The 15,688-nt window shown below is 50.5% G+C and overlaps 1 protein-coding gene across 3 annotated transcripts in view, besides 4 other annotated features; it reads left to right on the top strand.

The window, feature by feature from the left end:
• Positions 1-15,688, top strand: part of C20orf203 (chromosome 20 open reading frame 203) — a 42,317-nt gene that overhangs the window by 11,986 nt on the left and 14,643 nt on the right. Inside the window, exons 1-4 of one of the 3 annotated variants that reach the window (XM_047440131.1) lie at positions 4,197-5,380; positions 9,975-10,223; positions 10,790-10,938; positions 11,075-14,297. In XM_047440131.1, coding sequence (XP_047296087.1) covers positions 10,804-10,938; positions 11,075-11,524 — 585 coding nt within the window. In that variant the 5' untranslated portion in view covers positions 4,197-5,380; positions 9,975-10,223; positions 10,790-10,803 and the 3' untranslated portion in view covers positions 11,525-14,297. Of the gene's footprint in view, positions 1-4,196; positions 5,381-9,854; positions 10,224-10,789; positions 10,939-11,074; positions 14,298-15,688 lie in introns of those variants that run through there. The other 2 variants (NM_182584.4, XM_024451878.2) reach the window with 2 other exon arrangements.
• Positions 8,783-8,882: a silencer, noted in NCBI's record as "silent region_12805". NCBI's record gives its function as "represses an Ori minimal core promoter by ATAC-STARR-seq in GM12878 lymphoblastoid cells {active_cell/tissue: GM12878}" and the evidence as "EXISTENCE:reporter gene assay evidence [ECO:0000049][PMID:35858748]".
• Positions 9,173-9,222: an enhancer, noted in NCBI's record as "active region_17719". NCBI's record gives its function as "activates an Ori minimal core promoter by ATAC-STARR-seq in GM12878 lymphoblastoid cells {active_cell/tissue: GM12878}" and the evidence as "EXISTENCE:reporter gene assay evidence [ECO:0000049][PMID:35858748]".
• Positions 13,297-13,797: an enhancer, noted in NCBI's record as "H3K4me1 hESC enhancer chr20:31235961-31236461 (GRCh37/hg19 assembly coordinates)". NCBI's record gives its function as "activates a minimal SCP1, AML or CMV promoter by ChIP-STARR-seq in primed H9 embryonic stem cells {active_cell/tissue: H9 hESC(primed)}" and the evidence as "EXISTENCE:reporter gene assay evidence [ECO:0000049][PMID:30033119]".
• Positions 13,798-14,298: an enhancer, noted in NCBI's record as "H3K4me1 hESC enhancer chr20:31235460-31235960 (GRCh37/hg19 assembly coordinates)". NCBI's record gives its function as "activates a minimal SCP1, AML or CMV promoter by ChIP-STARR-seq in primed H9 embryonic stem cells {active_cell/tissue: H9 hESC(primed)}" and the evidence as "EXISTENCE:reporter gene assay evidence [ECO:0000049][PMID:30033119]".

The following is a 15,688-nucleotide window of genomic DNA, read 5'->3' as shown; positions in this document are numbered from 1 at the left end:
GAAATGGGCCTTACGCTGACATGGGCCTCCCCGGGGGCTAGGATGGAGTGAGCTAGTGCTACCTATGAGCTGATGCTTCTGTCTGTGGGGAGCACAGGTGTGGAGTGGGGGGCTTTGGGCAAGTCACCTCCCTTTTGTTAGAGCTGTGGCCCATCCTGACTGAGAGCCTCTGCTGGGTCTCCAACCCCATGGATCTGTGGCTGCATCCTGAATGGGTGGCCCTTGCTGACCGTCCAGTAGTCCAGATGACCCCTTTGCACAGCTCTGGCCTCTCAGGGCCCTGATTTAGTCCCCAGGAAAGGCACTAATCAGGGTCCCCTGCTCTCCCAGACAAATTCCTGCTCAGCACCCCAGAACCAGGCCCAAGGAAGATTCATGGAGAACCCCTAGATTTGCTGCTTCTCCCAGTCTTTCCAGAGAAATTCTGCCTTGTGTTCAGGGTTCAGGGGTCATGCAAGAAAGGTTTCTGGAGGGCCAGGGCTGGACACCACTGGAGCACATCCTTCAGAAAGGCAGGGGCCTTGAGCTTCTCACTGACTTGGTGCCTTCAGTGCCCAACACTGAGCCTGGCCTACTTAGACCTTTCATAAATACAGACCAAGTCAAGTGATGTCTGCCCATCTGTTTCCCTTTCCATTCTGCCCTGCTGTCATGAGCTTTGTGAGAACAGAGATGAGCCTGGTTCACCTCTGAGCCCTCAATGCCCGGCAAAGAGCCTGGCACCTGGAGAAGGCCCACAAATGTATGAATGAGTGGAGAACAGGTGGGCCGATGACTAAGTCGGGTCCTGAGAGAGTCAGAGCTGGTGACGCAGGCCCTCCTTTCTTGCCGCCTCCCGCACAGTGGGTCTCTTTCCTCCCTCTGAACACCTTGATTGTCCCTTCCTCTTTCCCTCCTTGATATGGTTTGGCTGTGTCCCCACACAAATATCATCTTGAATTATAGTTTCCATAATCCCCACATGTCGTGGGAGGGACCCAGTGGGAGGTAATCGAATCATGGAGGCAGTTACCCCCATGCGGTTCTCATGATAGTGAGTTCATTCTCACGAGATCTGATGATTTTTATAAGGGGCTTTCCCCGCTTTGCTTGGCACTTCTCTCTCCTGCCGCCGTGTGAAGAAGGACATGCTTGATTCCTCTTCTGCCATGATTGTAAGTTTGCTGAGGCCTTCCCAGTCATGCAGTACTGTGAGTCAATTAAACCTCTTTCCTTTATAAATTACCCAGTCTGAGGTATGTCCTTTTAACAGTGGGAGAATGGACTAATACACACACGTTCTTGGTGGAAACTGGCCACCAGGAAACTATGAGGCTTCCTGTCCATGTGACTTTGGACAAGTCACTTGACCTCCCTGAGCCTTCACTGTCTCCTCTGTAAAATAGGGCCATTGAAAGGGTTTTGTGAGGCTCAGTGCTGATGGCCTAGCACAGTCAGTGCCTGGCAGGTCATGGGCACTCAGGGAGAAGCAGCCCCTCTTTTCGGCAGCAGCGTGGCCTCTCGAAGGTGTGAGCTCCCTGGCATGAGCTGGCCAACCGATTGACCAGTGAAAGGGCATGGAGTAAGCTCGGGCCTGGACTGGCTGAGGAGGCAGTTACAGATCCCCTGAAACCCTGGTTGCTGTTCCTGGCACCTTGGCCCTTGGCTCTGTCATTCAGTGTCCTTTCTCCTGCTGGGAAGGGCACATCCTGTGGCTGGGTGGCTCGGCTGGGAGATGGACCCAGATCCTCTGGAGAGCTGCCCCCCAACCTCCCTGCAATGGGAAAGGTGCTTACCGCACAGCCTCAGAGAGCTTCCCACTGGGCTGCCCTGTACAGGACAGGAGTAGCAACTGTGCCCCAGAGGTGTAGTCCCCATGTGGTCTGCTCCCTGGGCCTTTAAAATGGGGGGAAATAAAGTCAGAATGAAGACTTATAGATCTGCTGAGAAGAGCAAATGCGCTGGCATACAGGACAGCACACTGGCCACTGACACACACTCCCCAGGTTACAACACAACTGTGTTGATGTGGATGATGATGATGATGATGATGTTAATATAATACATTTGATATAATTATATGTCATAATAATTATTGCTATTATCTATTATTATTAATTGATATTACTAGTGCCAGCCACGGAGGTGGGGAGCATGCCCATGGCCCCTCACAGGTGAAAGAGGCTGCCTGGTATGGCAGCTGAGAGCACAGGCTCTGGCTTGCACCTCTTCCTGCCACACAGTCACTGTGGGACATGGACAAGTGGCCTTCCCCTCTCATTCTCAGAGTCCTCATCTGGGAAATGAGGGAAGGCACCCTTCCTGGGATCCTGGCAGAATTCACTGAGGTCCACCCATGAGGGGTCCAGCCAGGTCCAGTCTCAAAGATAGTGGCTGCTGCAGGCACCTCCACTTTGAGCACCTGGGTCCACTCATGTAGGTTCCCTGAGCCTCAGTTTGCTCATCTGTACAATGAAGATGGTGGTCCCACCCATCACTTCAGGTCATCAGGAGGAGGAAATAAAATGAATCAGGTACATCACCTAGCAGGACTGCCTGATGCGTAGAGAGTGTTCATTGAGCTGCGATAATGTTTTTGTGCTGGTAGTAGGCAGGATGAGAACCTGCCCCTAGCCCCAGGCCTCCTGCCCAGGGCTTCTCCTCCTTGGTGAATTGTACGGCCAGAAACAGGGTGACCTTCATCAAGCCAGGATTACATTCCCAGTGTCTTTGGAGTGTGGGGCAAGGGGGTCGGCTGTGCAGCAGCTGCACCAGCTGCCCTGAAAGAGAAGGGGTCTTAGGCCGGGCACGGTGGCTCATGCCTGTAGTCCCAGCACTTTAGGAGGCCAAGGCAGGTGGATCACTTGAGTTTGGGAGTTTGAGACCAGCCTGACCAACATGGAGAAACCCCATCTCTACTAAAAATACAAAAAATTAGCCAGGCGTGGTGGTGCATGCCTGTAGTCCCAGCTACTCGGGAGGCTGAGGCAAGAGAATCATTTGAACCCAGGAGGCGAAGGTTGTGGTGAGCCGAGATCACGCCATTGTACTCCAGCCTGGGCAACAAGAGCGAAACTCTGTTTAAAAAAAAAAAAAGAGAAGTGGGTCTGAGTCTCTGGGAAGCCGCAGTGGGGTCTAGGCCTTGAATCAGCCCTGGACGCCAAGGCCGGAGGACGCTGAGCCTTGGTCTTCTCCTGCTCCATCTCCCTGTAGCTCCAGTGTCATTCCCCACCTACCCTTTGTGCTCACACAATGTCAGGGCCAAAGGAATGCCTGCAACACAGCAAAAAGCTTTATTGTTTTTTCTGTCTGTAGAAGTGATTATTATCCATTGCAGTAACAAAAATTGGAAAATTCAGTAAAATATAAATTAAGAGTATCATAGATTGGGTGTGGTAGTTCACTCCTGTAATCCCAGCCCTTTGGGAGGCTGAGGTGGGAGGATTGCTTGAGCCCAGGAGTTTGGGGCCAGCCTGGGCAATATAGCAAGACCCCAGCTCTAAAAGAAAAAATTCAAAAATTAGCTGGGCATGGTAGTGTACATCTGTAGTCTCAGTTACTTGAGAGGATTCCTTGAGCCCAGGAGTTTGAGGCTGCAGTGAGCCGTGATCCTGCCACTGCACTCCAGCCTGGGTGAGAGTGAGCCCTGTTCTCCAAAAATAAAAAGAGTACCCTAAATCCTAAATTTCCAGGTATTTTTGTTATACACATATAGATACAGATTTTTTCATAAGAATGGAATCCTATTATGCTTGCTTCTTAAAAATCAGAATGCCAGGTGCCAGCTAATTTTTGTATTTTTGGTAGAGTTGGGGTTTCACCGTGTTGGCCAGGCTGGTCTTAAACTCCTGACCTCAGGTGATCCGCCCGTCTCGGCCTCCCAAAGTGCTGAGATACAGGCGTGAGCCACCGTGCCCAGCTGAAATTTTATCTTCTTAAAGTCTCTTAAGTACCTGTTTTAATCTGCATGCTTTCTTTTTCTTTCTTTCTTTCTTTTTTTTTTTTTAGGTTTGGGGGCGCACAGAGTCTAGCTCTGTTGCCCAGGCTGGAGTGCAGTGGCGCAATCTCAGCTGACTATAACCTCCACCTCCCAGGTTCAAGGGATTCTTCTGCCTCAGCCTCCTGAGTAACTGGGATTAGGGGTGCCCACCACCATGTCTGGCTAATTTTTATATTTTTAGTAGAGACGGGGTTTTGCCATATTGGCCAGGCTGGTCTCGAACTTCTGATATCAAGTGATCCTCCTGCCTTGGCCTCCCAAAGTGCTGGGATTACAGGCAGAAGCAACCTTGCCCAGCCTACAGGCTTATTTTTGAACCTGCTTTTTTTTTCTTTTGACTTGGTGGTATATCTTGGACCTCATCGATGTTAGTAAATGTGACGCCTTTTTATTTATTTTTAAAATTTTGTTTTAGAGATGAGGTCTCACTATGTTGCCCAGGCTGGTCTCAAACTCCTTTGTTGTTGTTGTTGTTGTTGTTGTTTTGGAGACAGAGTCTCGCTGTGTCGCCCAGGCTGTAGTGCAGTGGTGAGATCTCAGCTCACTGCAACCTCCTCTTCCTGAGTTCAAGTGATTCTCCTACCTCAGCCTCCCGAGTAGCTGGGATTACAGGTGCCTACCACCACGCCTGGCTAATTTTTGTATTTTTAGTAGAGACAGGGTATCACCATGTTGGCCAGCCTGGTCTGGAACTCTTGGCCTCAAGTGTTCCACTCGCCTCAGCCTCCCAAAGTGCTGGGATTACAGGTGTGAGCCACCATGGCCAGCCTCAGCTAATTTTTAATTTTTTTGTAGAGATGGGGTCTCACTGTGTTGCTCAGGCTGGTCCTGAACTCCTGGCCTCAGGTGATTCTCCCACCTCAGCCTCCCAAAGTGCTGGGATTACAGGTGTGAACCACTGTGTCTGGCCCCAGCATGATGTTTGTAAGGTTTATCTATGTTACAGCATGTGTCAGCACTTTAGTCCTCCTTTTTATTGCTGAATAATATTCCATTGTATGAATATACCACCTTTCATTTATCCATTCATCAGCTGATGGACATTTGGGTTGTGGTTGTTTCTATTTTGGGGGAATAATGCTGCTATGACTAGTCATGTAAGATTTTTTTTTTGAGATGGAGTCGTACTCTGTTGTCCAGGCTGGAGTGCAGTGGTGCGATCTTGGCTCACTGCAACCTCTGCCTCTGGGGCTCAAGCGATTCTCATGCCTCAGCCTCCTGAGTAGCTGGGACTACAGGTACATGCCACCACACCTGGCTATTTTTTTTCTATTTTTGGTAGAGACAGGGTTTCACCATGTTGCCCTGGGTGTTCTCGAACTGCTGAACTCCGAAAATCCACCTGCCTTGGCCTCCCAAAGTGCTGGGATTACAGGCATGAGCCACTGCGCCCGGCCTTATGTAAGTTTTTATGTGAATACATGTTTTCATTTCTCTTGGGTATATACCTTTTAGGTGCAGAATTGCTGGATCATGTAACTCTATATATAACCTTTTGAACTGCCAGGCTTTTTCCAAAACGTTTTACATTCTTACCAGCAGTGTATGAGGGTTCTGATTTCTCCATATTCTCATCAACACTTGTTATTATCTGTCTTTTTTATTATAACTAACCTAGTGGGTACAAAGTGCTATCTCATTGTGGTTTTGACTTGCATTTTCCTAATGACTAATGATGTTGAGTATCTTTTCATGTGCTTATTGGCCATTTGTATGTCTTCTTTGGAGAAATGTCTATTTACATCCTATGCCCATGCATTAGTCTGTTTGCATTGCTATAAAGGAATAGCTGAGACTGAGTAATTTGTAAAGAAAAGAGGTTTATTTGGCTCACAGTTCTACAGGCTGTACAGGACACATGGCACCAGCACCTGCTCCTGGAGTAGGCCTCAGGAAGCTTCCAATCATGGCAGAAGGCAAAGGGGAGCCAGTGTGAGCAAGAGAAAGGGTGGGCACTGCCAGCCTCCTTCAGACAACCAGCTCTCTTGTGAACTAACAGAGCAAGAACTCCCTCATTACTGTGAGGAGGGCACCAAGCCATTCATGAGGGAGTCACCTCCGTGACCCAAACATCTCCCAGCAGGCCCCACCTCCAGCGCTGGAGATCACATTTCAACATGAGATTTGGAGGAGACAAACATCCCAACCATATCTGCCTGTTTCTATTTTTATTTTTTAAATTTTGAGGTGGAGTCTTGCTCTGTCACCCAGGCTGGAGTGCAGTGGTGTGATCTTGGCTCACTGCAACCTCCACCTCCTGGGTTCAAGTGATTCTCCTGCCTCAGCCTTCTGAGTAGCTGGGATTACAGGCGTCTGCCACCACGCCGGGCTAATTTTTATATTTTTAGTAGAGATGGGGTTTCTCCATGTTGGCCAGGTTGGTCTTGAACTCATGACCTCAGGTGATCTGCCCACCTCAGCCTCCCAAAGTGCTGGGATTACAGGAGTGAGCACCACACTTGGCTCAGCCCATTTTTAAACTGGGCTATTTGTCTTTTATTATTGAGTTGTAAGGGTTCTTTATATATGCTGGTTAGAATCTGTTATCAGATATATGATTGTCAGTTATTTTCTCCTATCCTGTGGGTTGTCTTTTCACTTTTTTGATAGTGTCCAGTCTCAAGCGATCCTCCTGCCACAGCCTCCCAAAGTGCTGGGATTTCAGGTGTGAGCCACCATGCCTGATGCAAAATTTTAAATTCTGATGAAGCCTAGTCTATTTTTTCTTTGGTTGCTTGTGCTTTTGGTATCATATTTATGAAACTATTGCCTAATCCAAGGTCATGAAGATTTATGTCTATGTTCTCAGAGTTTTATAGTTTTAGCTCCTACATTTGTTTTCATCCACTTTAATTTTTGTGTATGGTGTGAGGCAGGGGTCTGACCTCTTTCTTTTGCAAGACTCTGTTTTCCCCATTGAACTCCACCATTAAATATGTTCGGCTCTTGCGGCTGAACCAAATGTGAGGGTTTATTTCTGGACTCTCAGGACTCTTATTTATATTTCATTGATCTCTATGTCTGTCCTTATGCCAGTACCACATTGTCCTGATTACTGTAGTTTATTATAGTAATTTTTGAAATTGGAAGTGTGTGCACTCCAACATTGTTCATTTTTTCTTCTTCTTTTTTTGGGGAAGGATCTTGCTGTGTCACACGGGCTGGAATGCAGTGGCACATTCTTGGTTCACTGCAATCTCTACCTCCCAGGTTCAAGTGATCCTCCCACCTCAGCCTCCTGAGTAGCTGGGACTACAGGCACATGCCACCACACCCAGCTAAATTTTTGTATTTTTTGTAGAGATGAGGTTTCACCATATCACCCAGGCTGGTCTCAAACTCCTGGACTCAAGTGATCTGCCCACCTCGGCCTCCCAAAGTGCTGGGATTACGGACATAAGCTACCACGCCTGGCCCACCATTATTCTTTTTCAGGACTGTTTTAGCTTTTCTGAGTCCCTTAAATTTCCATATGAATTTTAGGATCAGCTTGTCAATTTCTGTAAAGAACCAAGTTGGAATTTTGATGGAGATTGTGTTGAATCTGAAGATCAATTTGGGGAGTCTTGCCATCTTAATGGTATTGGGTCTTTAGATCTATGAACATTGGTATTTTTCCATTTATTTATGGCATCTTTAATTTCTTTAAACAATGTTTTGTAGTTTTCAGATTATAAGTTTTGTACTTCTTTTATTCCTAAGCATTTTATTCTCTTTGATGCTAGTATAAATTGAATTATTTTCATAATTACATTTTTGAAGTGTTCATTGCAAATGTGTAGAAGCTCAATTGATTTTTGTATATTGATCTTGTATCCTGCAACTTTGCCAAACCCAATTATTAGTTATAACTTTTTTTTAGTGGATTCTTTAGGATTTTCTCTTTTTTTTTTTTTCGCTCCATCACCCAGGCTGGAGTGCAGTGGCGTGATCTTGGCTCACTGCAAACTCTGCACCCCAAGTTCAAGCAATTCTTGTGCTTCAGCCTCCTGAGTAGCTGGGGTTACAGGCACACACCACCACGCCTGGCTAATTTTTGTATTTTTAGTGGAGACATGGTTTTGCCTTGCTGGCCAGGCTGGTCTTAAACTCCTGACCTTAGGTGATCCACCTGCCTTGGCCTCCCAAAGTGCTGAGATTACAGGCATGAGCCACTGCTCCCAACCAAGATTTTCTATATATAAGATCATGTCATCTGCAAGTAGGGATAGTTTTACTTCTTCTTTTGCAATCTGGATGACTTTATTTTCTTGCCATTGTACCCAGTACAGTGTTGAATACAAGTCGTGAATTCAACTTTGCCGTAAGAGTGGACATCCTTGTCTTGTTCCTGGTCTTGGGGAAAGCACCCAATCTCTCACCATGAAGTATGATACCAGCTGTAGGAACACTCTTCTTAGAACTCCCCGAAAGATTGGCTGGTTTACACCCTCAGTTCTAGCAGTGTGCAAGCAGGAGGCCTAGTCCCCCATCCCTTGCCAACACAGTAACCCCAGGCTTTAGAGGCAAAGAACCAAGCCTGGGAGGGAAGTGCTGCATGCTATGTCACACAGATACTCAGCGACCTACAGTTCAGCTGTCCATATGCACTGGGAGTGAGCCCTGGACACTCAGCCTTCCCTCCCCTAGGGTGGGATGTCTTGAGACCCCCTAAAAAAAAGCATTGGTACAGAGGAACTTCTGGGTTCTGTTCTTGTATTAGTCACTGGCTGTGCAACTGTAGGCAGGTCACTTCCCTCTGGGCCTTGGTTTTCCCATCTGTGTAGTGGAAAGAGTGGTCCACCTTGAAATCTTCCAACTCTGACCATCTCTGCCCCACCCACCCTTAAATTCACAGTGGCTTCAGCATCCACCACTGCCCAGAGGAGCCACCAGAGGGCGCCCCAGACCATCATTTGGCCCAGCTTGGGTGCAGGGTGCCCTGGGGAGGCTGAGAGCAGCGCCTATTTTCCAGGAGCTGCTGGCTGTGCTTGCACAGACTTCCTGTGGCTAGACCAGCCCGCTCCTCTGGCTGAGCTCTGATCTCCAGGAAGGGAGTGACGGAGGCACCATCCCCAAGGCCAGTGACCTAGCACTCACCCTGCCCGCTTTGGGTTGCCGCCTGAGGCTCAGGCTTTGCAACATCGGGGCCAGCAGCCTTGCATCTCTCAGCCTTGAGAGGCTTCCACCATCTCTGAGAGGGCCTCTCACTGGTGCTGCATCCTCTCCCCACCAAATTGCCCAGCAGCAGGAAGCCCCCCAAACTGGTGCGTGTCTGGCTACCTGGAAGGGGGCCCTCACTGTTTTTTGTGGACGTGAATGTATTCATGCTGGGGGTCTGGACAGTGTAGTCTCCAAAAACCACAGCATCCGGGACTCCTAGATACCTCCAGGATAGATCCCAGAACCTTCGAAGCAGGAATCACAGAGGTCAGGGACCACCCAGAACTTCCCAAAAAAGCCAGAGGAGGCTCCATCAGCACCCCCATGACCCCCAGGGCTGATTTTATCGTTCAAATAAAATCAAAACCTTTGCCTTGCAAATTGAGCTCCAAGACACAGCAGCATCTCCCCGCCATCCCAAGAGTCTCACCCCAGCCCCTTTGCATGGAGGGCTGCTGGGCCCCCTCTGATGCCAGGGGTATTTGCTTTTTTTTTTTTTTTTTTTTTTTTTTGAGATGGAGTCTTGCTCTGTCGCCCAGGCTGAAGTGCATGATCTCAGCTCACTGGCACGATCTCAGTTCACTGTAACCTCTGCCCCACCAGGTTCAAGTGATTCTCGTGCCTCAGTCTCCCAAGTAGTTGGTACTACAGGCGTGCACCACCACACCCAGCTAATTTTTGTATTTTTAGTAGAGACGAGGTTTTGTTGTGTTGGCCAGGCTGGTCTCGAACTCCTGATCTCAAGTGATCCTCCTGCCTAAGCCTCCCAAAGTGACAGGTGTGAGCCACTGCATCCAGCCACATTTGCTTTGCATTCTAGTTATTTGTATGTGTGTTTTCTCTCTCCTTCCAGACTGGGGTCCCCTTAAAGGCAGAGTGAATCTCAGATTCATCTTAGTCCCTTCCTGGGGTCTTGTTCAGGACCCTGCATCCAGTAGATGCTCAACAAATGTCAACATAGGAATCCAGGTCCCATCCTCTCCTCACTCAAGGGATCCAAGGCTGCCTCTTCCTCTTCCGTAGTGGTGTGGCTTTGCAGAAGTCACTTAAGCTCTCTAATCCTCCTCCTCAGAGTGCCAGACTGCAGCTGCCACATGAAGAGGTAAGACTCGGACAGGCTAGGTGCCAGGTCACCCCCCAGTTCCCCAGACCTTTCAGATGGCAGTGGCTGGCTATTCAGGTCAGACCAGTTGCTGTGCTGGACACTTCACCTTTGTTATCTCCTCCAGTCTTCTCAGAGACCCTTTGAGGTGGGCTCTGTTGCCATCCCCAGCCTTGCAAATGGGGAAACCCAGGCATGTGACAATGAGCTCCCTTGCCTGAGGTCACGTTGGTTGGTAAAGGTGTCTGAGCCTACAGCCCTGCTTTGAAGTGACTTGGGGCAGGGATGAGCAGCTTCAGGGGGTTTTCTTGTCCACCCTGTAAGAATCTTCAAGGCTCAGAGATCATTTGCTCCAATTTTCTCGTTTCTTTTCCTTTTTTTTTTTGAATAGGGTTTCGCTCTGTTGCCCACTTTGGAGTGTAGTGGGGCGATCATGGCTCACTACGGCCTCAACCTTCTGGGCTGAAGTGATCCTCCCACTTGAGTAGCTACCCCATGAGTAGCTGAACCCTCAGGCGCAAGCCAACACACCCAGCTAATTTTTTTTTTTTTTTTTTTTTTTTTAGAGAGAGGGTCTCCTATGTTTCCTAGGCCTGTCTTGAACTCCCGGGCTCAAGCGATTCTCCTGCCTCAGCCTCCCAACATGCTGGATCACAGGCAGTGGCCACCTCGCCTGGCCAGTTTTCCCTTTACAAAAACTGGAATGCTGAGCCGGGTAAGAAGTGCTGTCCCTGTCTCCCACACCTGGGCTGACACTGGGGACTGTTGGGAAATTAGGGAAGACCTAAAGCCCCTTGCGAGTCTCAGGTACTAAGATTCTATGATCTTCTTGGGGGCCTTGTTCCCAACAGGCCACATCAGTCTTGGCTGGACTCACTGCCCACCTCTGGGACCTTGGCGGTGGGGCGGGAAGGAGGACCTCAAAGGCTCAGCGAGTCCACCCCCAGCCCAGCCACCAGCGCCAGCCTCCTCCTCCGCAACACCCAGGCCCTTATCAGGAAAGGATTTGGGTTGGTGGGGAGGGGTGGGGGGAAGTTGGAGGCCTCAGGCTCAGCAAGGTGGGTCGGAGAGATAGGGAAGTGGGGAGGGGGCTGCGGGCCCCTGCTGGGCGGGGGAGGGCAATGGGAGGGATGCCCAGAATGGGCACGGTGGGGGACTTTGGCCAAGCTCTGTCCTCGCTGGCCTGGACCTCAACATGTTTCCAGGACTTCTGCCTCCCATCCTTGCCAGGCAAGTTGCCTGCACCTTTAATTAGCAAGCAGCAGTTTCTCTCCAATTCATCACGGTCGCTGTTTAATTAGCCGAGCCCAGGGCGCCCCCACCCCCAGCTCTGCCTGCCTGTCCTACCAAGGCCACCACCACCTCAGGGTGTCCCCTGTTACCACCCCCCACAATCATTCTGCTCCCCAGAGTGGGGGATGGGCCCGGCACGCCCAGCTGAAACCTCAAGGAGATTCTGGGCACCGGCGCTTGTATTCAAGGCATTCAGCAAACATGATTAGGGACCGAGGCTGTGCCAGGCTGGCTCTGGGTAGAACCCCGGCCGGACATGCGGGGCAGGCTCTGGTCCTGTCCAGCTGCTGGAGAATGGCTTCTCCCTTGGGAGGCGCTGGCACATCTCTCTGGCTTGGTCCCTGAGTGCTGGGAGGAGGCTGCAGTACTCCTGTGTGTCACTCCCACCCCACATCCGGAAAGGGACACCATGTCTTCCTCTTCCTCTCTCTTCCAGAGCCCAGAAAGCTCCTCTGAGAATGCTGGACCTCAGGACAGGGGCCCATGCTCTGCACCCGGCCCTCAGCAGCCAGATCCTAGAGGCCCAGTCCAAGCTGTGGGCCAAGGGAGCGGGGCGGGCTGAGGCCTGCTTTGTGTCGGCAGGGTCTGGGGAATTGGGAGCACTGGCGGGAGCCCATGGTCCGGGGCCGAACCAGCCCCCTTCTGTTTCCCTGAAGAAGGGTGAGGCTGAGGGCCCTCGGAACAGAGCCCCTGTGTCATTCTGTGCAGGGCCGGGATAGCCACTAGTCACTGTGGGCAGAAGCAAGAAGCAGAGGCTCAGGCTCCATCCCAAGCCTGTGCTCCTGCTGGGCTGTGGGAGGTGTGACCCTTCCACTGTTTCGTAGACTGAGAACATGGAGGGACTGGCATTTGCTGTGTTACCCTGTGGTGCCATCAGCGTGTTGTGACAGGGGCAGGAGGAGTGTGCTAGAACCCACCCACTCTGGTACTGCCCATCTCTGTGGCCTTGGGCCAGCCACCAAACCGTACCATGCCTTAGTTCCCCTATGATTCATAGCTGCTTCATGGGCTGATGTGAGGATTAAACAGCTTACTATGTGTTGGGTCTGGTTTTGTTTGGCTTTGTTTTGTTTTTTGAGACAAGGTCTCACTCTGCTGCTCAGGCTGGAGTGCAGTGGTGCAATCACAGCTCACAGCAGGCTCCACCTCTCAGGCTCAAGCGATCCTCCCATCTCAGCCTCCCTGGTAGGTGGGACTATAGGCACATGCCCCCATACCTGGCTAATTTTAAATTTTTTGTAGAGATAGGGTCTCACTATGTTGCCCAGGCTGGGGCTTACAGTGTTTAAAGCACTTAGGAACACTGTCTGGCAGGAGTCCTTGATAGTCATTGGCTGTTTTTGCCATTCTTTCCTCTCCTTTATCCAATCAGCACTCCTTGCCAGGTATGAGGAAATTGATGTCAGTGGGAGAGGCAACCTCCCTGCTTTTCAGAGTTTGCCTCCTCATGGGGGAGGCAGCTGAGAACAAATGAGTAAGGAAGAACACAGTTTCACCGGAGTAAAGCCTGCGGCTCATCAGTGTAATGTACCAATGTCACTTTCTTGGTTTTGACCACTTACCATGGTTAGGTAATAGGTTGACATAAGAAAAAACTTGGTGAAGGGCCAATAGGAACTCCCTGTACTATCTGTGCAATTTTTCTGTTGCAAAATAATTTCTAAGTTATTCCCTAAAGAAAGTTTATTGGCCCAGCGCAGTGGCTCACACCTGTAATCCCAGCGCTTTGAGAGGCCGAGGCAGGCGGATCACGAGGTCAGGAGATCAAGACCATCCTGGCTAACATGGTGAAACCCTGTCTCTACTAAAAACACACACACAAAAAAAAAAAATTAGCCAGATTTGGCAGCAGGCGCCTGTAGTCCCAGCTACTCGGGAGGCTGAGGCAGAAGAATGGCGTGAACCTGGGAGGCGGAGCTTGCAGTGAGCCACCGTCACACTACTGTACTCCAGCCTGGGCGACAGAGCGAGACTCTGTCTCAAAAAAAAAAAAAAAAAAAAAAAAAAAAAAGACAGTTTCAGGCAATGGTTAGTGCCATGAAGCAAACAATCAGGGGCAAGAGACAGAGAGAATAGGGATTGGGGCATTTCGGGAGGGGTGGTCCAGGAGAGCCTCTGAGGGAGGCAAAGCTGAGCAGAACCTGAATGATGGGAAGGGCAGGGAAGGAGGAGGGAATGGGGAGTGCAAAGGCCTGGAGGCAGGATGGGCTTAGGCTGTTTGAGGAAGCTGGGGAGCCTGGGCTCCAGATCCCACACCCCTGGCCACTGCACTGGACTGGGAGAAAGGACCCCAACTCTGGAGTCAGCTAGACCCGGGTGTGATACCCACTGCTGCCTCACTGTGTGGCCTTGGGCAAGTAGCCCAAGTAGCAGATCTCTGTTACCTGGATCTGCTGCCAGGGATGGAGGAAGAAAGCCTGCTCCTCAGAGGGCACAGAGGGTGAGAGAAGTGGGTAGGGGTTAGCTTGCCTAGGGTGCTGTAGGTGCCATCAATGGATTGGGGAGATACTATGAGGGACCTGACACCCTCTGAGCCTGGAAGGGTGGGGGAAGGCGACGCCCCCTGCCGTGGGTGGTGAGGCTGGGGAAGGAGCTGGGACCAACACTCCTGCACTCCAGGCTATGCACCTGACCCTGAGCAATTCCCCGACCCGTGGTAGTTTCACCCTTTCAACTCCGGGTGGGGAACTGTATCTGGCGCTTTCCACACATTAGTTCTCCATTTTACTTTTTTAGACATAGGGTCTTGCTCTGTCACCCAGGCTGGAGTGCAGTGGCATAATCTTGACTCACTACAGCCTCAATCTCCTGGGCTCAAGCAATCCTCTCACCTCAGCCTCCTGAGTAGTCGGGACTACAGGCGTGTGCTAAAATACCCAGCTAATTTTTTTAATATATTGTAGCAACAGGGTCTTACTATGTTGCCCAGGCTGGTTTGGAACTCCTGGCCTCAAGTGATCCTCCCACCTTAGCCTCCCAAAGTGCTGGGATTACAGGCATGAGCCACCAAGCCAAACCCTAGTTCTTCTTTTTTTTTTTTTTTTGAGACGGAGTTTCACTCTTGTCTCCCAGGCTGGAGTGCAATGGCAGGATCTCGGCTCACTGCAACCTCCGCCTCCCAGGTTCAAGCAGTTCTCCTGCCACAGCCTCCCCAGTAGATGGGATTATAGGCACACGTCACCACGCCTGGCTAATTTTTGTATTTTTAGTAGAGATGGGGTTTCACCATGTTGGCCAGACGGGTCTCAAACTCCTGACCTCAGGTGATCCATCCAGCTTGGCCTCCCAAAGTGCTGGGATTACAGGTGTGAGCCACTGCGCCCGGCCCTAGTTCTTTATTTTAATCCTTATAGTTACCCTGGGGGAGGCATGAGCCTCTCCACTTATGAGTGAGACAATGGAGGACAGAGACTCACATCAAGTGTCATGTGGTGAGTGACCAGTGTGTGCTAGATGGAGAGACCCTCCTGGCCCTCAAGGCTGTGCCATGGTCTTGCTGGGAGACATGGGGTAGTTGAAAAGGGCCTGGGTGAGGCATGGGTGTAGCTGTGGAGGGATGAGCCAAGCAAGTGGTAGGAGCTGGCCTGGGCACCCAAGGCATGCATGGGGCCTCTGGCTAGCATGAGTGCATGTGTCAGGCCAGGGGAGCAGCTCTGTGCAGTCATCATGTAATCAGCTGTGGTAACAGTAATAATGCGTGACTGCAATACACAATTCTGAAGGTGGCAGACAACCTATAGGGACAAGTTAGGGCTCCCACCCTTTCCCCAACTGTTTCCCTCCCCGGAGATGACCTCTGGGGCCTATTCCTTGTGTTTCCTTCTGGAGTCAGCCTAGACAGCCCCATCTTGACCACAACAGCAGGCCATCAGTGTGGGCCTTCTAGACACCACCTGCTAGGAAGCCCTTGACACACAGTTTAATCCTCATACTAGGCCAGACGTGGTAGCTCATGCCTGTAATCCCAGCACTTTGGGAGGCCAAGGCGGGTGGATCACTTGAGGCCAGGAGTTCGAGACCAGCCTGGGCAACATGGTGAAACCCCATCTCTACTAAAAATACAAAAATTAACAAGGCGTGGTGTCATGTGCCTGTAATCCCAGCTACTCGGGAGGTTGAGGTGGGAGAATCGCTTGAACCCAGGAGGCAGAGGTTGCAGTGAGCTGAGATTG

Source organism: Homo sapiens, chromosome 20 (genome assembly GCF_000001405.40).
Source record: "Homo sapiens chromosome 20, GRCh38.p14 Primary Assembly".
In the NCBI taxonomy this organism is placed as follows: Eukaryota; Metazoa; Chordata; class Mammalia; order Primates; family Hominidae; genus Homo; species Homo sapiens.
The sequence above is the reverse complement of the archived record's forward strand: the minus strand, read 5'-3'. Positions and strand labels throughout refer to the sequence as shown.